The following is a 23,080-nucleotide window of genomic DNA, read 5'->3' on the forward strand; positions in this document are numbered from 1 at the left end:
AAAACCTAACAACAGAATAGTTTTAAAAGCTTTTCCTGATCCCCATGAACAGATTCTTATTCAAGCCACTTTACCTCTAGTGATTTAAGGAGGGGCACAGACTCAATAAATGATTCAAACATCTTCCTCTTCTTTGCATTATTTTTCACTATGATTCTTCTAAAAGTCACCCGGTCCTACAAGAAAGAATATGAAAATTCTAGTAAATGCCTATATACAGGAACATCTATGGTTTAATTAACTGGCCAAAGCAAATATTAGAGGAATATGTAAGTTACTGTGTTAATTAAGTGTTTAATGATACTTCAATCTTGAGTCATCACTGGAAGTAAAGGACCTATAGCCTGAGCCAGCCAGATGCCCACATGCTGTTGCTTGCTATCTAGCACTCAATAGGTGCCACCTATGGGTCATAAATAGAACCCAAAACAGAAAACACCTAAACATTTATGAGCTCACTGTCACTGTTCAATATCAAAAAAGACACCTCTAGTGAGCCGAGATCATGTCACTGCACTCCAGCCTGGGTGACAGAGTGAGACCCTCATTTCAAAAAAAAAAAAAAAAAAAAAAAAGAGACACCTCACCAAAAGAGAGAATAAAACAATCATTTAATCCTTAGAATCCAGGATTTAAAAAAACTTAAAAAATCCAAAACAATTAGATTGTTCTTGCCTAAAAAAAGAACAATTAGATTGTTCTTACCCTAAAAAAGTTTACAATCTTAATGGGGAGATAATATAAAATATCAAAATATGAAGGTTGGCTGAATGCAGTGGCTCACTGCCTGTACTCCTAGCATTTTGGGAGGCTAAGGTGGGCAAATTGCTTGAGCCCAGGAGTATGAGACCAGCCTAGGCAACATGGTGAAACACGCTCTCTACGAAAAAATACACAAAAAAAGTTAGCTGGGCATGGTGGCACTTGTCTGTACTTGGGTGGCTGAGGTGAAAGGCTCACCAGAGCCTGAGAGGTCAAAGCTGCAGTGAGTTGTGATTGTACCACTGCATTCCAGCCTGGGCAGCAGAGTGACACTATGTCCCAAAAACAACAATATCAACAACAACAACAACAACAACAAAATACATAGGAATAAAAAGTCTACATTTCAAGGACAGGTGCAGTGGCTCACACCTGTAATCCCAGCATTCTGGGAGGCTGAGTCAGACAGATCACTTGAGCTCAGGAGTTCAAGACCAGGCTGTGCAACATGGTGAAACCCCATCTCTACAGAAAATACAAAAATTAGCTGGGCATGGTGGCGTTTGTCTAGTCCCAGCTAGTTGGGAGGCTGAGGCTGGAGAATCACTTGAGCTCAGGAGGCTAAGGTTGCAGTGAGCTGAGATTGCGCCACTGCACTCCAGCCTGGGTGACATAAGTTGAAACTGTGTCTCAAAAAAAAATAAAATAAAAATAAAAAGTCTACAGTTCAAGACAGCATATGAGCATATGAAATGTGCTTGATGAAACTACAGAAGACAAGTGCCACATAAATTTCAAGGTAAGAAGGGGAGATCACAGTAGGCAGGAGTGATCAAAGATTATTTTGCAGCAAAAATGTCTAGGACCTGAAAGAGAGGTAGGATTTAAGTTAATGGAGAGACACGGGAGGAATACGCAAGATGGAAGGCAGGCATATGAAAGATACCTTGACTCTAGCAAGTCATGGATTCCTTCTGTTTTATTTTGAGATAGGGTCCCCCAATGTTGTCCAGGCTGGCTTTGAACTCCTGGGGTCAAGTGATCTCCCCACCTCAGCCTCCCAAGTAGCTGGGACTACAGGTACACAACACTGTGCCTGGCTTAGTAAGTAATGGATTCTGATCAGAAGACAGTTAACCAAACCAGGCACTTCTCAGATATGTGTACACATGTGCAGGGAGATACATGTGAGAATGTTAATTGCTTAGTCTTAGATTCCTAAATGGGCAAGCAGTTATTTGTATCTAAGTTAACTACCTTTCTTCCACCTCAGGCTGTCAGGACTATACATATATACATTTTGTCAGAAAGTATAATAATGGGCTGGGCGCAGTGGCTCACGCCTGTAATCCCAGAACTTTGGGAGGCCGAGGCAGACGGATCGCTTGAGGTCAGGAGTTCAAGACCAGCCTGGCCAATATGGTGAAACCACATCTCTACTAAAAATACAAAAATTAGCCAGGCATGGTGGTGGGCGCCTGTAATCCCAGCTTCTTGGGACGCTGAGACAGGAGAATCACTTGAACCTGGGAGGCAGAGGTTGCAGTGAGCCGAGATCATGCCACTGCACTCCAGCCTGGGTAACAGAGCGAGACCCTGCCTCGAAAAAAACAAAAACAAAACAATATTTTAGGCTGTGTGTGGTGGTTCATGCCTGTAATCCCTGCACTTTGGGAGGCCAAGGCAGGAGGATCGCTTGAGGCTAGGAATTCAAGACCAGCCTGGGCAACACAATGAGACCTCAACTCTATTTAAAACACAAAAACAGGCTGGACGCAGTGGCTCACACCTATAATCCCAGCACTTTGGGAGGCTGAGGCGGGTGGATCACAAGGTCAGGAGATCGAGACCATCCTGGCTAACACAATGAAACCCCGTCTCTACTAAAAATACAAAAAATTAGCTGGGCATGGCGGCACGCGCCTGCAGTCCCAGCTACTAGGGAGGCTGAGACAGGAGAATCGCTTGAACCTGGGAGGTGGAGGTTGCAGTGAGCCAAGATCACACCACTGCACTCTAGCCTGGGAGACAGAGCGAGACTCCATCTCAAAAAAAAAAACAAACAAAAAAACCCCACAAAAACAGAAAACCCCAATATTTTATTTATTTATTTAAAAAAAACCCATACAGGCTGGGAACAGTGGCTCACGACTGTATTCCCAGCACTTTGGGAGGCTGAGGTGGGGAGGTGGGTGGATTGTTTGAGCCCAGAAGTTTGAGAACAGCCTGGGCAACATGGCGAAACCCATCTGTACAAAAAATACAAAAATTAGCCAGGCGTGGTGGCGTGCACTTGTGGTCCCAGTTACTGGGGAGGCAGAGGTGGGAGGATTGCTTGAGCCCTGGGAGGCGAAGTTGCAGTGAGGTGTGAGAGCACCACTGCACTCCAGCCTGGCCAACAGAGTGAGACCGTCTCAAAAGATAGATAGATAGATAGATAGATAGATAGATAGATAGATAGATAGATATAGACAGACAGAGAGACAGACAGACAGACACACACACACACATACATAGATACATAGATAGATAAAATAAAAGGCCTGGCACAGTGGCTCACACCTATAATCCCAGCATTTTGGGAGGCCAAAGTGGGTGGATCACTTGAGGTCAGGAGTTCGAGACCAGCCTGGCCAACATGGTGAAATCTCGTGTCTACTACAAATACAAAAATTAGCTGGGCATGGTGGTGTACACCTATAGTCCCAGCTACTTGGGAGGCTGAGGCATGAGAATTACTTGAACCCTGGAGGCAGAGGATGCAGTGAGCCGAGATCACACCACTATACTCCAGCCTGGGCAACAGAGACTCCGTCTCAAAATAAATAAATAAATAAATATTAAAAAATACACAGAGGGCAGCAAAGTTAACTCCCAATATTTTACAAATCCACCTACAGTGTAACAAAGATTAGTACAATTGCAATAGCAAACAATATTTCGGCTGGGCGCATGGCTCACGCCTGTAATCCCAGCACTTTGGGAGGCTGAGGTGGGTGGATCACTTGAGGTCAGGAGTTCGAAACCAGCCTAGCCAACATGGTGAATTCCCATCTCTACCAAAAATATAAAAAATTAGCCAGTACTGTTGGCACATGCCTATAATCCCAGCTATGCAGGAGGCTGAGGCAGGAGAATTGCTTGAATCCTGGAGGCGGAGGTTGCAGTGAGCCGAGATAATGCCACTGGACTCCAGCCTGGATGACAGAGCAAGAGTCCATCTCAAAAACAACAACAACAACAACAGATTTCTAACTAAAGAGAAAACAACAAATATCTTTCTTTTTTTTTTTCTTTTTTGAGACAGAGTCTCGCTCTGCCACCCAGGCTGGAGTGCAGTGGCACAATCTCGGCTCACTGCAAGCTCCGCCTCCCTGGTTCACGCCATTCTCCTGCTTCAGCCTCCTGAGTAGCTGGGGCTACAGGCGCCTGCCACCGCGCCCGGCTAATTTTTTGTATTTTTAGTAGAGACGGGGTTTCACCGTGTTAGCCAGGATGGTCTCAATCTCCTGACCTCATGATCCGCCCGCCTTGGCCTCCCAAAGTGCTGGTATTACAGGCGTGAGCCACTGTGCCCGACCACAACAAATATCTCTTACAGCGACTTTTTTTTTTTTTGAGATGGAGTTTCGTTCTTGTTGACCAGGTTGGAGTGCAATGGCGCAATCTTGCCTCACCGCAACCTCCGTCTCCCAGGTTCAAGTGATTCTCCTGCCTTGGCTTCCAGAGTAGCTAGGATTATAGGCATGCGCCACCATGCCCAGCTAATTTTGTATTTTTTAGTAGAGACAGGGTTTCTCCATGTTTGTCAGGCTGGTCTCCAACTCCTGACCTCAGGTGATCTGCCCACCTTGGCCTCCGAAGTGCTGGGATTACAGGCACGAGCCACTACGCCCGGCAAGCGACTTTTTTTTTTTGAGACAGAGTCTCACTCTGTCACTCAGCAGGCTGGAGTGTAGTGGCATGATCACAGCTCACTGCAGCCTTGACCTCTTAGGCCCAGGTGATCCTCCCAACTCAGCGTCCCAAGTAGCTGGGACTACAGGCATGTGCCGCCACATCAGCTAATTTCTTATTTTTCATAGAGACAGGGTTTCACCACGTTGCCCATGCTGGTCTTGAATTCCTAGGCTCATGTGATTTGCCCACCGTGGCCTCCCAAAGTACTGGGATTACATCATGAGTCACCACACCCAGCTGGTTCTACCCCTTTTTACGCATGCTTTAACACTTCCCAAAACTCTCTTTTCATGTGGTGCAAGGCCAGTTCCCATGGCTGTGGAGAATATAAAAAAAGCACCAGACATCAACATAGCCTTTGATGAGCATCCAATCGAGCAGTGAAGAGGAAATTCCCACAGGCAGCAAGTGGTCAGAGGCAAGCAAACACCCCTGAAGTTCAAAAGAGAAAAGGAGTGCTACTCTCTCCTGTGACTGCAGGAATTTCCCAGGAAACCTTCTATTGACTTTCAATAAAGCAAGAGAAAGCAAAAGAGACTACGTATAGGGGCCGTGATGGCAGCTGCCCATTATAAAAGCAGGAATGTAGGATCCAACTTGAAAAACTCAGTGACGACACCAGATCCTCCCTACTTCAACCTCAGAAGGCATTTCCAAGGCCAAAGAAGAAGTCAGGCTGGAGAGGACCTTCTGTGAGTTACTTTCCTAGAGGTGGTATTGAAGCTTTGGAAGAGTCTGGGCTTGCAAAGCAAGTCAATTAACAGGAGAAAAGTAGAGGCCAAAAGGATATCTTGATAGGTCACTGACCTAAGAAAGCAAGGAGAAGAGGAAATGACTGCCAAAGGCAAGGAAATAGAAAGAATAGGAGTCTTAGGAAAGGAAGTCTCAGGAAAAGAAGGGTGGTGAGTAGCACCATGGCCATGGGGAGCTTGTGCCATCATTCTGTGAACACCCACCTTGTACCAGGCACTAAGGGAGTCACTTCTCTTATGCCCATGTATTTAATCCTCATACCCCAGCCACAAAGCAGGTGGTTTTACAGCTCAATATACAGTTTTCAATTTTCATTGAGACTTGGTCTTAGAGATTATCCAAGAATGGGTTATTTGGCCGGGTGCGGTGGCTCTTGCCTGTAATCCCAGCACTTTGGGAGGCCGAGGTGGGCAGATCACCTGAGGTCAGGAGTTCGAGACCAGCCTGGCCAACATGGTGAAACTCCATTTCTACTAAAAATACAAAAATTGGCTGGGCGTGGTGGCACATGTGCACACGTCTGTAATCCCAGCTACTCAGGAGGCCGAGGTAGGAGAATCGCTTGAACCCAGGAGGCAGAGGTTGCAGTGAGCCAAGATCATCTCAAAAAAGAAAAAAAAGAAAGAATGTGTTATTTGGCTGGGCACAGTGGCTCATGCCTGTAATTCCAGCACTTTGGGAGGCCAAGGCAGGAGGACTGCTTGAGCCCAGAAGTTCAAGACCAGCCTGAGCAACATAGTGAGACTCTGTCTCAACAACAACAACAACAAAAAGACAGGTGTGGTGGTGCACACCTGTAGTCCCAGCTACTTGGGAGGCTGAGGTGGGAGGATTGCTTGAGCTCAGGAGGTCAAGGCTGCAGTTAGCCCCTGCTCACACCAAAAACAATGTTATTTAATTTCTAAGTGTCTGGAGATCTGTTATTGATTTTTAGTTTCTTTCTTTCAATTGTAGTTAGAGAACACATTCTGATTTCATTTTTTCTTTAAATTTTCATTATTTCTTAAAATTTTAAATAGAGATGTGGTCTCACTATGCTGCCCAGGTAGGTCTCAAATTCCTGGACTCAATCCTCCCACCTCAACCTCCCAAAGTGCTGGGATAACAGGCTTGAGCCACTGTGGTTGGCCTGATTTCAAATCTTTTACATTTTTTAAGTTTTATTTTATATTCCAGGATATGGCCTATTTGGGTGAATGTTCCATGGGCTTGAAAAAAATGTTCATTCTGTTGTTGCTGTGTGCAGTGTTCTATAAATTTCAGATAGCTTTTGTTAATTAATGGTGTTAAGTTCTTCTATATCCTAGCTGACACTAGCTGATTTTCTGTTTAGCTGTTCGTTCTTTTGTTTTGTTTTGTTTTTGAGATGGAGTTTTGCTTTTGTTGAATATACCTGTTAGAAGATCTGGATTTCAGGCTTTCCAGCACCCCATCTGGGATATATGGGAACCTGGGAACTCACTGTCATGTCTTTCCTCAAGCCCCAATATCCCTAGATAGTCTGCCTTCTTCTTTCCACCTTTCAGAGTCTTCCTATGTTTGCTCTATTATGTCCATAGTTGTTTGTGTGTGTGTTTAAGTTTTTAAGTGAGAACACTAGCATGGAATAGGGCTATTCCATCTTGGTCTGAACCAGTAGTTAGCACCAAGGCTTATTATTTGATTTTGTATTTTTTGAGATGGAGTCTTGCTCAGTCGCCCAGGCTAGAGTGCAGTGGCGTGATCTTGGCTCACTGCAACCTCCGCCTCCTGGGACTACAGGCGCCCATCACCATGACTGGCCAATTTTCATATTTTTAGTAGAGACACGGTTTTACCATGTTGCTCAGGCTGGTCTCGAACTCCTGACCTCAAGTGATCTTCCCGCCTTGGCCTCCCCAAGTGCTGGGATTACAGGTGTGAGTCACCGTGCCTGGCCCCCATTATTTATTATTCCCCTATACAAATCTATTCTTGAGTTTTTCAATCATTGAGTCCCCAAGTGTGTGACCTATCCTTAAGTCACTGTATCTCTTTCAGGAGCACTCTTAATTTAACATCAGGATGTCACAATAAAGTGCTTTTTTTTTTGAGACGGAGTCTCGCTGTGTCGCCCAGGCTGGAGTACAGTGGCGCGATCTCGGCTCACTGCAAGCTCCACCTCCCGAGTTCACGCCATTCTCCTGTCTCAGCCTCCCAACTAGCTGGGACTACACATGCCCACCACCACACCTGGCTATTTTTTTTGTATTTTTTAGTAGAGATGGGGTTTCACCGTGTTAGCCAGGATGGCTGTAAGATATAGTGTAAATCAACAGCCCAAGGACAGAGACACAGAAAGGGAATTAATACTGTGCCTTGCAAGGGGAACGATTTCTCTCACTCACCAGTCCCCAAAGGGAGCCTTCTGAGGTAGCAACAATGGTAGCAGCTCTCGGGGTGTTGTACATCAGAGCTAGTTCTCCAAAACTGCCACGGTTGTCATATTGACCAACAGAGCGGGTTTGATTATCTTTTGTTACTAAAATGTCATAAGTTCCCCTAGAAGAATGACAAAGAATAATTTAATTAGTTACTTCTGATAATAAATGTTAAGAACTGGCAGGTACATATAATAGAAAATGTTGTTTTAAGAGATTTCCAATGGAACTTTGCTAGTATATAAAAAAAACATATTTTTGTATTTTGACTTTGTACTGTGTCCTATAACCTTGCTAAACTCACTTATTAATTCTAGTAGCCTTTTTGTGGCATTCTTGGAATTTTCTTTTCTTTTTTTTTTTTTTTTTTTTTTGAGACGGAGTCTCGCTCTGTCACCCAGGCTGGAGTGCAGGGGCGGTATCTCAGCTCACTGCAAGCTCCACCTCCTGGGCTCACGCCATTCTCCTGCCTCAGCCTCCCGAGTAGCTGGGACTACAGGCACGCGCCACCAGGCCCAGATAATTTTTTTGTATTTTTAGACAGGGTTTCACCATGTTAGCAGGATGGTCTCGATCTCCTGGCTTCGTGATCCGCCCGCCTCAGCCTCCTAAAGTGCTGGGATTACAGGTGTGAGCCACCACACCCGGCTAGAATTTTCTACATAGAGGATCATGTCACCTGAAACAAAGTTTTAATACTTCCTTTCCAATCTATATGCCCCTTCCTTTTTTTCCCCCCATCTTTAACTTAAACATATATATATATACACACACACACATATATACATACACATAAATATATATATACACATATATACATTTTTTGACATATATATTTTTTTGAGACAGGGTCTTGCTCTGTCACCCAGGCTGGAGTGCAGAGGCACAATCATGGCTCATTGCAGCCTCCACCTCCTGGCCCCAAGCAATCCTCTCACCTCAGCCCCCTAGCAATCCTCTCACCTCAGCCCCGAGTAGCTGTGACCACAGACGTGTGCCACCACACCTGGCTAATATTTTATTTTTGTAGAGATGGGGTCTCACTATGTTGCCCAAGCTGGTCTGGAACTCCTGGGCTCAAGCAATCCTCCTGTCTCAGCCTCCCAAAGTACTGGGATTAAAGGCATGAGCCACCATGCCCGGCCTAATTTTTTTTCTTTTATTAATATATAATATTTTACATAATTTATGGCGTACATGTGAGTGTTTGTTGCATGCATAGAATGGGTAATGATTAAGTCAGGGTAACTGGGGTATCCATCACCTTGGATATATGTCCTTTCTATGTGTCAGTATCATTTCATGTCCTCTCTTCTATTAATAGTTACTTTGAAATATGCTAAATATTGTCACCCAAGTATAGTCACCTTATCATGCTATAAAACATTAGAACTTGCCAGGTGCAGTGGCTCACACCTGTAATCTCAGCACTTTAGGAAGCTAAACTGGGAGGGTTGCTTGAGCCCAGGAGTTTGAGACAATCCTGGGCAACGTATGGAGACTTCTCTCCACAAAAAGGAAAAAAAAAAGACATTAAAATTTATTTCTTCTATCTAACTGTGTGTTTGTACCCATTAGCCAACTTTTCTTCATCCACCCACCACCCTTCTCAGTTTCTGGTATATATCATTCTATTCTCTATGTCTACGATATCAATGTTCTTTAGCATTCACATGTGAGCAAGAACATGTGGTATTTGTCTTCCTGTGCCTATCTTATTTACCTTAATATAGCAACCTCCATGTGGCTACAAATGACATGACTTCTTTCTTTTTTATGGTCAAATGGTATTTCATTGTGTACTATGCCACACTTTCTTTCTTTCTTCCTTTTTTCCTTGCCTCCCTCCCTCCCTCTCTTCCTTTCTTTGCCTTATTGCATTGACTATAACCTCCAGTACAATATTAAGTGGAAGTGGTGAAAGCAAACATCCTTGCCTTATTCTGAGTTGTAAGAAAAAACAATTTTTCACCATTAAATATGATGTTAGCTGTAGGTTTTTAATAAATGCCTTTAGTCTAGTTAGGGAAAGTTATTTTTGTTGCTAGTTTACTGAGCATTTTCATCACAAAAAGATGTTGAATTTTGTCAAATGCTTTGCTGTAGGTATTGATATGAATGCATGGGTTTTCTTTCATAGTCTGTTAAAACAAAGATTAAAACAAAGCAGGTCGGGCACGGTGGCTCAAGCCTATAATCCCAGCGCTTTGGGAGGCCAAGGTGGGTGGATCACCTGAGGTCAGGAGTTCGAGACTAGCCTGGCCAATCTGGTGAAACCCCGTCTCTACTAAAAATACAAAAATTAGCTGGGCGGGTAGCGGGTGCCTGTAATTCCAGCTACTCGGGAGGCTGAGGCAGGAGAATCACTTGAAACCTGGAGGCAGAGGTTGCAGTGAGCCGAGATCATGTCATTGCACTCCAGCCTGGGCGACAGAACGAGGCTCTGTCTCAAAACAAACAAACAAACAAACAAACAAAACGATACAATTATTTATCTATTGATCGGCAATAATGGCTAAAAAAAAAAAAAAATCAGAACTGACAAGCAGAAATAGGCACTCTCAACATACCACTGAGGGAAACATAAACTTTTCAGTTTCTGCAAGATAATTAAAACATATAGCAAACGCCTTAAAAAGACCCTTTGATATTGCAATTCCATTTCTAGTCATTCCAAGAGAGATAATCAAAGATACTGCAAAAGATTTAATTGCCAGGATTTCACCAGGTAATATTTATAATAGTAAAAACTATAAGTAATTTCATCTGCTAATAATAGGAGATGGGTCAAATACATGTTTCTATCTATATTATGGAGTCATTAAAAATAATGACAGAGGCTGGGTGCAGTGGCTCACGCCTGTAATCCCAGCACTTTGGGAGGCCGAGGTGAGTGGATCACCTGAGGTCAGGAGTTCGAGACCAGCCTGGCCAACCTGGTGAAACCCCGTCTCTCCTAAAAATACAAAAATTAGCTGGGCGGGTGGCAGGTGCCTGTAATCCCAGCTATTCGGGAGGCTGAGGCAGGAGAATCACTTGAAACCAGGAGGTGGAGGTTGCAGTGAGCCAAGATCGCATCATTGCACTCCAGCCTGGGCAACAGAGAGGCTCAGTCTCAAAACAAACAAACAAACAAACAAACAAACGATACAATTATTTATCTATTGATTGGCAATAATTGCTAAGGAAAAAATATTCAGAACTGACAAGCATTTGCAGAAATAGGCACTCTCAACATACCACTGAGGGAAACATAAACTTTTCAGTTTCTGCAAGGTAATTAAAGCTTATAGCAAATGCCTTAAAAAGACCCTTTGATATAGCAATTCCATTTCTAGTCATTCCAAAAGAGATAATCAAAGATACTGCAAAAGATGTAATTGCCAGGATTTCACCAGGTAATATCTATAATAGTAAAAACTATATGTAATTTCATCTGCTAATAATAGGAGATGGGTCAAATACATGTTTCTATATATATCATGGAGTCATTAAATATAATGACAGAGGCTAGGCATGGTGGCTCACGCCTGTGTATGTGTGTATATATATATAATAATAATGACAGAGTATGGCTGGGCACAGTGGCTCACCTGTAGTCCCAGCACTTTGGGAGGCTGAGGCAGACAGATCACCTGAGGTCAGGAGTTCGAGACCAGCCTGGCCAACATGGTAAAACCCTGTGTCTACTAAAAATACAGAAATTAGCTGGGTGTGGTGGCATGTGCCTGTAATCCCAGCTACTCGGGAGGCTGAGGCAGGAGAATCACTTGAAACTGGGAGGCAGAGGTTGCAGTGAGCCAAGATCGCACCATTGCACTCCAGCCTGGGTGGCAGAGTGAGACTCTATCTCAAAATAATAATAACAGAATGCTATATTCCATAACATGCTTAAAACAGATTAAAAAAATTAAATCACACAACAATGTATGATTTAATGTAAAAAAAATTATGTAAAGATAATTCCATTAGTCGACTCCATTTTTGATGTTTGATTGTTGACAGCTTTCAAACCCTTCCTCTTCTGCCCCATATCTGGGCAAGCTGATAAGAAAGCCTGAGTGCTCCCTCCTTCGGTGCTGACGGGGAGTTCAATCAACACAAATGCCAGCCCCTGTGTAAGAGTACCCTCACTTAATCCCACCTTCTAACCACCATAAATCCCAAGACAGTCATCTCGCCTGCTATCTGAAGTCATTTTTGGATCTGCCTGGGAGCCTGCCCTGCTCTCTCTAAAAAGGCTCTATATGTGAGTAATAAACCTTTTCATACCCTTTTACTGTATATGTAGTGTCATCAGTCTTGACATCTTAACCAAATTTTGGGTGAGGTGTCTGATCTCAACAGTAAAGCATGGAAAAAATAATGGAATCATACACTGGTAATCAGATTATGCCTAAATTAATTTCTATCCTGTTTGTATTTTATTTTATTTTGAGTTGGAGTCTCGCCCTGTTGCCCAGGCTGGAGTGCAGTGGCATGATCTCGGCTCACTGTAAGCTCCGCCTCCTGGGTTTACACCATTCTCCTGCCTCAGCTTCCCGAGCAGCTGGGACTACAGGCACCCGCCACCACGCCCGGCTAATTTTTTGTATTTTTAGTAGAGACGGGGTTTCACTGTGTTAGCCAGGATGGTCTCGATCTCCTGATCTTGTGATCCACCCACCTCAGCCTCCCAAAGTGCTGGGATTACAAGTGTGAGGCACCGCGCCAGGCCTTTTATTTTTTTATATTCTAAATTTCCTACAAAGAACTTCCAACTGTCTGACAAAATCACTAAATATCATGTATTAAAAGAAAAGCAGAGAATGTGCCACCAACCCTGCTCTCAGGGGAGCTTACCACTCAGTAGGGAAGCTGACCTGTCCTAGGCCTTTATAGACAAGGCAAAATAAGCTTATAAATAGGAAACATAGAATTCAGTGTTTTTAGCGTCTCCTCCAGACACTAGCATTTAACTTTGGAAGTGACATGAACTCATTTCAGGCAGCAGCACTGCAGAGAGCCTCTCGACCTTTCCCATTCAGGTCATCCTCTATATAATGGGGCATATGTTTTTATCATTGTTACCACCACATTATGTAATAATTATCTATTGAAAGGTCTGTCTCTCCAACTTGACCATGAATTTTTTGAGGTCAGGAACTGTACCTTTTTACTTGAACGACAATCTTTCTTTTTTGTTTTGTAGAGACAGGGGTCTCACTATGTTGCCCAGGCTAGTCTCGGACTCCTGGTCTCAAGTAATCCATATCGGCCTCCCAAAGTGCTGGGATTACAGGTGTGAGCCACTGTGCTCAGCTCTTTCCTATTTGTTTATCACCACATTCTTTTTTCTTTTCTTTTTATTCTGAGACAGGGTCTCACTTTGTCCCCCAGGCTGGAGTGCAGTGTTATGATCACTGCCCACTGTAGACTCAACCTCTTGGGCTCAAGTGATCCTCCCACCCCAGCCTTCCAATTAGCTGGGACTATAGGCATGCGCCACCATGCCTGGCAAATTTTTTAAAAAATGCTTTTTTGTGTGTTTTTGTTTTGTTTTGTTTTGTTGAGATGGAGTCCCATTCTGTCACCCAGGCTGGAGTGCAGTGGCATGATCTCCACTCACTGCAACCTCTGCCTCCCGGGTTCAAGTTATTCTCCTGCCTCAGCCTCCCAGGTAGCTGGGACTACAGGCACATGCCACCATGCCCAGCTAATTTTTTTATTTTTAGTAGAGATGGGGTTTCACCATGTTAGCCAGGATGTTCTCGACATCCTGACCTTGTGACCTGCCCGCCTCAGCCTCCCAAAGCGCTGGGATTACAGGCGTGAGCCACGGTGCTCGGCCTGCATTTTTTTTTTTTTTTTTTTTTGAGATGGAGTTTCACTATTGTTGCCCAGGCTGGAGTGCAATGGCATGATCTCGGCTCACTGCAACCTCCACCTCCCAGGTTGAAGCAATTCTCCTGCCTCAACCTCCTAAGTAGCTGGGATTAAAGGCGCCCACCACCATGTCCAGCTAATTTTTTGTATTTTTAGTAGAGATGAGGTTTTGCCATGTTGGCCAGGCTGGTCTCAAACTCCTGACCTCAAGTGCTCCGCCCACCTGGGCCTTCTAAAGTGCTGGGATTACAGGTGTGAGCCACCGTGCCCGGCCTAAAAAAATGTTTTGTAAAAATGAGGTTTCACTATCTTCCCCAGGCTGGTTTTGAACTCCTGGGCTCAGACAATCCTCCCACCTTGGCCTCCCAAAGTGCTGGGATTGCAGGTGCAAACCACTGTGCCAGGCTCTTATTCACCACTTTCACTGTACAAAGAATAACCCCTTTTGTTTACATATGAAATAAATCATTCCTTCTGTACAAAGGCATTTCAGTCTTTAAGTTGTGGACATGTACAGGTGGATGCTTATTTCCCAGATCATAAGTGCCCAATGGGACCTCTGTCTTGGTAGGGGAGTACACAGCAGGGCAAAGGGGAAAGGTGGCTGCTGGAGGTGGTAATATAATTTTATTATATTATAAATATAGACCTGGCATGGTGGCTCACATCTGTAATCTCAGCACTTTGGGAGGCCAAGGCGGGTGGATTGCTTGAGGTCAGGAGTTCAAGACCAGCCTGGCCAACACGGTGAAACCCCATCTCCACTAAAATACAAAAATTAGCTGGGAGTGGTGGTGGGTGCCTGTAATCCCAGCTACTCAGGAGGCTATGGCAGGAGAATCGCTTGAACCCGGGAGGCGGAGGTTGTAGTGAGCCAGGATTGCACCACTACACTCCCACCTGAGCAACAGAGCAAGACTCCGTCTCAAAATAAATAAATAAATAAATAAATAAATAAATAAATAAATAAATAAATAAAATATATAGTTTTGTATTATATTTATAATTTTATTTTAAAACTATTCTGGGCTGGGTGCGGTGGCTCATGCCTGTAATCCCAGCACTTTGGGAGGCTGAGGTGGGTGGATCACGAGGTCAAGAGATCGAGACCATCAGGGCCAACATGGTGAAACCCCATCTCTACTAAAAATACAAAAATTGCTGGGCTTGGTGGCAGGCACCTGTAGTCCCAGCTACTCAGGAAGCTGAGGCAGGAGAATCACTTGAGCCTGGGAGGCGGGGGTTGCAGTGAGCTGAGATCATGCCACTGCACTCCAGCCTTGCGACAGAGTGAGACTCCGTACCCCCCCCAAAAAAAAACAAAAAAACCTATTCTGTCATTACTTGTAGAATTTCTGTGTAAGAAGTATTAGCATAAAAGATGAAGACAAAAGTCTTTTCTCTGAGAAGATATTATTTATGTCATCTTTACCCTAAATCAGCATTTAGAGTAAAGAAAACATTTCCTTTGGACAGGGTGGTGGCTCACGCCTGTAATCCCAGCACTTTGGGAGGCTGAGGCGGGCAGATCACGAGGTCAGGAGTTCGAGACCAGCCTGACCAACGTGGTGAAACTCCATCTCTACTAAAAATACAAAAAATTAGCCGGGCATGGTGACGGGCGCCTGTAGTCCCAGCTACTCGGGAGGCTGAGGCAGGAGAATGGTGTGAACCTGGGAGGCGGAGCTTGCAGTGAGCCAAGATCGCGCCACTGCACTCCAGCCTGAGCGACAGAGCAAGACTCCGTCTCAAAAAAAAAAAAAAAAAAAAAAATTTCCTCTGAGTGTAATAATTTGTCACAGGTAGCAAGAACCCAAAGGTTACTCAAGGAGGGAGAGTATTTTCTGTTCAAGAATCTAAATAAGAAAAGGCTCAAGAAGAAAGGCAACCAATGTATCTAGTACAGCTATTTGATGGAGATTAAAAGAATCTTAAAAATGAGGAGAATAATTAGAAAAATTTGAATAAGGTGCATACATTAGATGTAGTATTGTATAAATGTTAATTTGTGTTTTTTATAATTGTTCTGTAGTAAAGTAAGAGAATATCCTTTTTAGGAAATGCACACTGGGGTATTCAGAGATAAAGGGGCATTATATGTGCAACTTAAAACAACTTTTTTTTCTTTTGGTGGTGGGGACGAAGTCTCACTCTGTCACCCAGGCTGGAGTGTAATGGCACAATCTCAGCTCACTGCAGCCTCTGCCTTGTGGGTTCAAGTGATTCTCCTGCCTCAGCCTTCCAAGTAACTGGGACCACAGGCGTGCACCACCATGCCTGGCTAATTTTTTTTTTTTTTTTTTTTGTATTTTTAGTAGAGCTGGGGTTTCACCATGTTGGCCAGGCTGGTTTTGAACTCCTGACCTCAAGTGATCCACCCACCTCAGCCTCCCAAAATGCTAGCATTACAGGTGTGAGCCACCACGCCCAGCCTTGCCAACAACTTAATAAAGCAAAGGGAGTAGAACGCTAACCTAGGGAACCTGTATTTACAATTTTTTTTTTTTGAGACTGAGTCTCACTCTATCACCCAGGCTGGAGTGCAGTGGCGCTATCTTGGCTCACTGTAACCTCCACCTCCCAGGTTCAAGCAACTCTCCTGCCTCAGCCTCCCAAGTAGCTGCTATTACAGGTGCACACCACCACGCCCGGTTACTTTTTTATTTTTATTTTTTTTTGAGACAAAGTCTCACACTGTTGCCCAGGCTGGTGTGCAGTGGGGCGATCTCAGCTTGCTGCAGCCTCTGCCTCCCAGGTTCAAGCGATTCTCCTGCCTCAGCCTCCCGAGTAGCTGGGACTACAGGCGCGTGCCACCATGCCCAGATAATTTTTGTATTTTTAGTAGAGACGGAGTTTCACTACGTTGGCCAGGCTGGTCTCGAACTCCTGACCTCGTGATCTGCCCGCCTCAGCCTCCCAAAGTGCTGGGATTACAGGCATGAGCCACTGCGACTGGCCAATTTTTGTATTTTTTAAGTAGAGGGAGTTTCACCACGTTGGCCAGGCTGGTTTCGAACTCCGGACCTCAAGAGATCCACCTGCCTCGGCCTCTCAAAGTGCTAGGATTACAGGCATGAGCCACCGCACCAGGCCTATGATTAATTTTTTGCACTATTTAACTTTTCTGTAACTCTGAAATTACTTTAAGATAAAAAAACTATTTTTGTTTCCTTTTTATTATCTAGCTCCAAAAACCATTTTATTTTAAATTAATGGAAGATATCAGGTGAAGCAATATCTTATTGGTGTTAAACTCTAGTGAGAGTGTTTCTTTCAGGACTAAGGAGATCAGAAGGACACCCACCTCACTGCCACCAGCCAGAGGATACTAAACTCAAGAGGTTAGGACACAGTAGGGTGAGCAGGTCAAGCCCAAATATTTAATCTTTTCCTAATACTTAGATCTGAGCCAGAGGGGTTAAGGTCAGGGCAGTGTATTCATGAGTAAAATCAGGCTCAAATACAAACATTCAAATGACTATAGTACCATGGCTAATTCTTCAAGGAATCAATTCACTTGACACTGGCAAATAACATGTTTATAAAGCACACCCTGCACTCCTTACTAACTGTAAAGGAGACTTTCTTTTTTTTTTTTTGAGATGGAGTCTTGCTCTGTTGTCCAGGCTGGAGTGCAGTGGCGGGGTCTCAGCTCACTGCAACAACCTTTGCTAGGATTACAGGCGTGAGCCTCCTAGGTTCAAGTGATTCTCCAGCCTCAGCCTCCCAAGCAGCTGGGATTACAGGCATGCACTGCCACATCCGGCTAATTTTTGTATTTTTAGTAGATACGGGGTTTCACCATACTGGCCAGGCTGGTCTCAAACCCCTCACCTCAAGCGATCCACCGGCCTTGGCCTCCCAAAGTGCTGCAATTACAGGCATGAGCCACTGCGCCTGGCCTAAAGGAGACTTTCTACTCTAAATGATTGCTCTTCAAATATGAGTTGTGCTGAGGACTCAGGACAGCACTGGTAGAGAGGGACAAGCTGTGGACTCTCACAAGGCTTTGGGAAGCTTGTTCACCTGGCCCTTAGCCTCTCTGGGCTGAATACAGAATAGGATAAAGCATCTGCCCTGAGTCATGAATCCGATTAAGTGTGGCCACACAATTTCAAAGCTCCATCTCCTACCGTTCTATGACATAAAAGTTGTCTCCATCATCTCCTTGGTCAATGACATGCTCATCAGCTTTGACTATCCTTTCAAACATGGCATCGAGAACTTGAGAAAGCTGTTCCTGCAGGGTATGCACAAGAAGAAAAAAATAGCCTTTACATATGCTGAAAAAAAGCAGTGACCATAATTATCTCAATTTGTGACTATGTAACAGAAGTCCCCACATTCAAGCAGAAACCTAAAGGTTGTCTGAAACAAATGCTTTCCTGGGACCATTCAGCTTTGCACCTCCATGTACCTCAGCAGACAGCAAACTGGCAAGTCTTCTGAGGCAGTATTGTTTTGAAAAAGCTTCCCAAAATTTACACAAAAATATTATCTAAATTATGGTCCATGTTCTCCCAGCCACACCCACATGACTGTCACCTGCCTGATGGCTCCACTATGTCATGTGTAAAGTCATATGCTCCCACCTTCCTACAGCTGTTGACCTTAACAGGAGCATCAGATCTAAAGGGCTGCTATGGCCTTAGAGGTTATCTTTTGGAACAGCACAACTTTTGACTAGCGAAACACGTCACTTAACCTCACTGAGCTTCAGTATCTTGTTTGTTTTTTTTTGTTCTGGAGACGGAGTCTCACTCTGTCACACAGGCTGGAGTGCAGTGGTGTGATCTCAGCTCACCACAACCTCTACCTCCCGAGTTCAAGCGATTCTCCTGCCTCGGCCTCCTGAGTAGCTGGGACTACAGGCCTGTGCCACCACGCCTGGCAAATTTTTATATTTTTAGTAGAGACAGGGTTTTGCCATGTTGGCCAGGCTGGTCTCGAACTCCTGACCTCATGTAATCCACCCACCTTGGCTTCCCAAAGTGCTAGGATTACAGACGTGAGCCACCACGTCCGGTGAACTCCAGTTTCTTCATATGTAAAAAGGGTATAACAAAGATTCCAGGTCATCAATTTTTATGACCAAAGGAAAAAAACCTAGGAAAGTATTTATGAAACAACAGATACTCAATAAATGAGATATATTATAAGACAGCTAATATTGCTTCATTTGCATACAGCACATACAATTACTTACAAATATTGCCTGCCATAACCAGACATCAACTATGTCAATAAGTATAATGAAAAGAAAATAATACTATTAAATTCTAATGAAACAATGGTCTCAGTCTGGGGCCAGCATCCCTGTCAGGGAGATCAGTAATTATTAGGAAGTCACTAAAGAATACCAGGTTCAATTAAAAAAAGAGACTTTCTCTTTGGAGAAATGTAGACTGAAGACCTGAAAAGAGAATAATTTTATGACTGCATAATTCCATGTGATTTTATGTTCTATCAGAGTGACTGTACTACCAAGATAATTGAGTATCACCAAAAAGTGTATTTAGTTCCACGTGCGTTGAATACTGTATAAGCTAACAAATACTAAAAAGGATGGCTTGCAACTGACGTGTTACCCACACTGACTGGAATGTGAGCCCAGTGTTGCCAGAAATCTCCTATTTAAACACTGGCAATAAATTTAAATTTTCATGTTCAATACAGACCAAACACAGACATCTGTACCTAGCCTGTGGGTTGCCTGCTGGAAGCCGCTTGTTCTGAGTCACTTTTCTTCTTCTAGTCTGGACTCTTCAAACACATGTGTCATGAGATATAGAATAACAGGGGCGGAAAGGGAGCATTTCTAGGTTAGAGGAGACTAAAATAACAACATGACAACCAAATGAAATACAGTAAGTCCTCAATGTGGTTGATAGGTTCTTGAAAACTGTGACTTTAAGCAAAACAATGTATAGAAGGTCCTCAAATAACACAGTTATAACACTGATGAGGGGAAAAAAAGGTTTCATTATAGGTTGTTTTGCTTAAAGTTGCAGTTTCCAAGACTACCAACAATGTTGAAGTACTTACTATATGTGATTCATGATGTTAGGTGAAGACTTATTGTATGTGATTCAGGACTGAAAAACAAAACAAAAAGCTATACAGAACTTTACTGGGAAAACGGGAAATCTGAGTATGGACTGTTGTTAGGTGATTTTATATTATACCAACATTAAATTTCTTGGGTTTATTAAATGGTATTGTGTTAACATAGGAAAATATTCTTTTTTTTTTTTTTTTGAGACAGTCTCACTTTGTCACCCAGGCTGGAGTGCAGTGGCGCGATCTTGGTCCACTGCAACCTCTGCCTCCTGGGTTCAAGCGATTTCTCCTGCCTCAGCCTCCCCAATAGCTGGGATTATAGGCGCATGCCACCAGGCCTGGATAATTTTTTTTTTTTTTTTTTTTGAGACAGAGTCTCGCTCTGTCGGCCAGGCCGGTGTGCAGTTGCACGATCTCGGCTCACTGCAACCTCTGCCTCCCGGGCTCAAGCAATTCTCCTGCCTCAGCCTGCTGAGTAGCTGGGATTACAGAATGTGCCACCATGCCCAGCTAATTTTTGTATTTTTAGTAGAGACGGGGTTTCACCATGTTGGCCAGGCTGGTCTTGAACTCCTGACCTCAGGTAATCCGCCCGCCTTGGCCTCCCAAAGTGCTAGGATTACAGGCGTGAGCCACCGGGCCCGGCCTTAATTTTTATATTTTTAGTAGAGACAGGGTTTCACCATGTTGGTCAGACTGGTCTTGAACTCCTGACTTCAAGTGATCCACCTGCCTCGGCTTCCCAAAGTGCTGGGATTACAGGCGTGAGCTACCTTGCCTAGCCAGAAAATATTCTTGTTCCTGGAAAATACATCCTAAATATTTAGTGGTGAAGGGTCATGATGTCATAAATGGCTCAGAACAAAAGAAAAGCATTTTATATATACTCCTCTTTTCTTTTTCTCTGTACATAAACTTGCACACAAGAGAAAAAGCAAATGTGGTATAATGTTAACAACTGGCCAGTCTAAGTAAAGGGCATCTGGGTATTCATGTTATTATTCTTTTGAATTTTCTGTAATTTTGAAAATTTAAAAATAGAAATTTGGGAAATAAATTTAAAATTTGAAACAAATATACTAATCAGAAAAAATACTGACACTATAAAATGTTAGTAAGGGTATGAAGCAACCTGAAATCTCATATGTTGTGGACAGGAATGCAAACTGGTAAAACTACTATGAAAAATATCTGGCAGTTTTTTGGTTTTTTTTTGTTTTTTTTTTTTTTGAGACAGAGTCTCGCTCTGTCACCCAGGCTGGAGTGCAGTGGTATGATCTCGGCCCACTGCAACCTCTGCTTCCCAGGTTCAAGTGATTCTCCTGCCTCAGCCTCCCGAGTAGCTGAGATTACAGGTGTGTGCCACCATGCCCAGCTAATTTTTGTATTTTTAGTAGAGAGGAGGTTTCACCATGTTGCCCAGGCTGGTCCCGTACTCCTGACTTCAGGTGATCTGCCCGCCTCGGCCTCCCAAAGTGCTGGGTTTACAGGCATGAGCCATCGCGCCCGGCTGATCTGGCAGATTTTTTTACAAAGTCAAACATATACCTATCCTATGACTCAGTAATCTTCCTCTCAGGTACTTTACTCAAGATAACTTGGGGGCCGGGCGCGGTGGCTCATGCCTGTAATCCCAGCACTTTGGGAGGCAGAGGCGGGCGAATCACGAGGTCAGGAGATCGAGACCATCCTGGCGAACATGGTGAAACCCCATCTCTACTAAAAATAAAAAATAAAAAAAAATTTTTAAAAAAGATAACTTGGGGGAAAAGGTCACAAAAAGATTTGTACAAAATGTTGATAGTGTTAATCATAATAGCTAAAAACTAGAAATAGACCAAGTATTCGCTAACAGAAAAATGGATAAATTGGTATTTTTGAGCAATGAAATACTACTGAGCAATAAAAAGGAATGAACTAACATTGCTGGCAATAAGACATACTGACATCATGGGCCCCTTGATATGATGCTTTCAGAGGGACACAATATAATTTCTGTGGTAGTCTCGCCAAAAATATATAACCATATTCCAAAATCATGAGGAAACATCAAACTCAAATGAAGAGACATTCTATAGAATGACTAACTAGTACTCTTCAAAGTGTCAAGATTATGAAAGACAAGTAAAGACTGAAAACTGCCACAGATTGGAGGAGACTAAGAAGAAATAACTGCTAAATCTAACATGGGATCCTGGACTGGATCCTCTACCAGAAAAAAGACATTATTGAGAAAAGTAATTATTTATTTATTTATTTATTTATTTATTTATTTATGTATTTATTTAATGAGACAGAGTTTCACTCTTATTGCCCAGGCTGTAGTGCAATGGTGTGGTCTTAGCTCACTGCAAACTCTGCCTCCTGGGTTCAAGCGATTCTTCTGCCTCAGCCTCTCAAGTAGCTGGGATTATAGGCACCTGCCACCAAGCCTGGCTAATTTTTGTATTTTTAGTAGAGATGGGGTTTCACCATGTTGGCCAGGCTGGTCTCAAACTCTTGACCTCAGATGATCCTCCCTCCTTGGCTTCCCAAAGTGCTGGGATTACAGGAATGAGCCACCGTGCCCGTCCAAGTTATAACTTTTCAACACTCAAATGGTATTCTCCAACTCTAAGAAAACTGTTAGATTGACATAGAAACTTTCCTTATAGTAACTTTAATGGTATAAAATTTACAAGAGGTTTTATTCACAGATAAAGAAGCAAGCCCCTTTTCCATTTACATGGATGGGTCTTCCAGGGAAAACAGCTAACACAGACCACTGTTTCTCATAACCAGCCTTTCCTTGAGCTCATGGTCCTTGTCTCATTCAGTCTCAAACTAACAAGCTCTGAGTAAAGCTCTGGCTATTACTGTAAACCACACAGTTATTAGTCTGGTTTACAGACACCAAGGTTAGTTAACTCCTTTGACTGATGCATTGTAAGCTCATATCTGACCAGCCCAGATTCCTAAGGAGGGCTGTGGAAATGTCTTCAGAAGCCTTTTTGGTAGGAGCTGGGTAACAGAGGAAATCTAATTCCAGCCTTCCTGTCTCTGCACATTCTGGGACTCCTCAATAGGCCTAGCACCTTAGCCATTCATGCGGTTTTAAATTTTTAAATGTTTTTAATTTTAAATTTTTAGCTTTTTTGAGATGGAATCTCATTCTCTCGCCAAGGCTGGAGTTCAGTGGTATGATCTCAGCTCACTGCAACCTCCACCTCCCCAGTTCAAGCAATTCTCCTGCCTCAGCCTCCCGAGTAGCTGAGACTACAGGTGCGCGCCACCACGCCCAGCTAATTTTTGTATTTTTAGTAGAGACGGGGTTTCACCATGTTAGCCAGGATGGTCTCCAT

General features: G+C 43.6%; 1 protein-coding gene across 9 annotated transcripts in view, besides 1 other annotated feature; it reads right to left on the minus strand.

The window, feature by feature from the left end:
- The window catches only part of PRKAR2A (protein kinase cAMP-dependent type II regulatory subunit alpha), a 103,284-nt gene that overhangs the window by 20,583 nt on the left and 59,621 nt on the right, over positions 1–23,080 (minus strand). For all 9 annotated transcript variants that reach the window (XR_002959546.2, XM_011533942.4, NM_001321989.2 and 6 more), the window contains 3 exons: positions 17,813–17,919; positions 7,782–7,935; positions 75–176 (listed from right to left, as the gene is read on the minus strand). Coding sequence is in view for 8 of the 9 variants with exons in the window: in XM_011533942.4 (XP_011532244.1) it covers positions 75–176; positions 7,782–7,935; positions 17,813–17,919 (363 nt within the window). In the remaining variant the exon portion in view is untranslated. The remainder of the gene's footprint in view (positions 1–74; positions 177–7,781; positions 7,936–17,812; positions 17,920–23,080) is intronic.
- Positions 4,003–4,654: an enhancer, noted in NCBI's record as "H3K27ac-H3K4me1 hESC enhancer chr3:48806609-48807260 (GRCh37/hg19 assembly coordinates)". NCBI's record gives its function as "activates a minimal SCP1, AML or CMV promoter by ChIP-STARR-seq in naive H9 embryonic stem cells {active_cell/tissue: H9 hESC(naive)}" and the evidence as "EXISTENCE:reporter gene assay evidence [ECO:0000049][PMID:30033119]".

Source organism: Homo sapiens, chromosome 3, assembly GCF_000001405.40.
Source record: "Homo sapiens chromosome 3, GRCh38.p14 Primary Assembly".
NCBI lineage: Eukaryota > Metazoa > Chordata > Mammalia > Primates > Hominidae > Homo > Homo sapiens.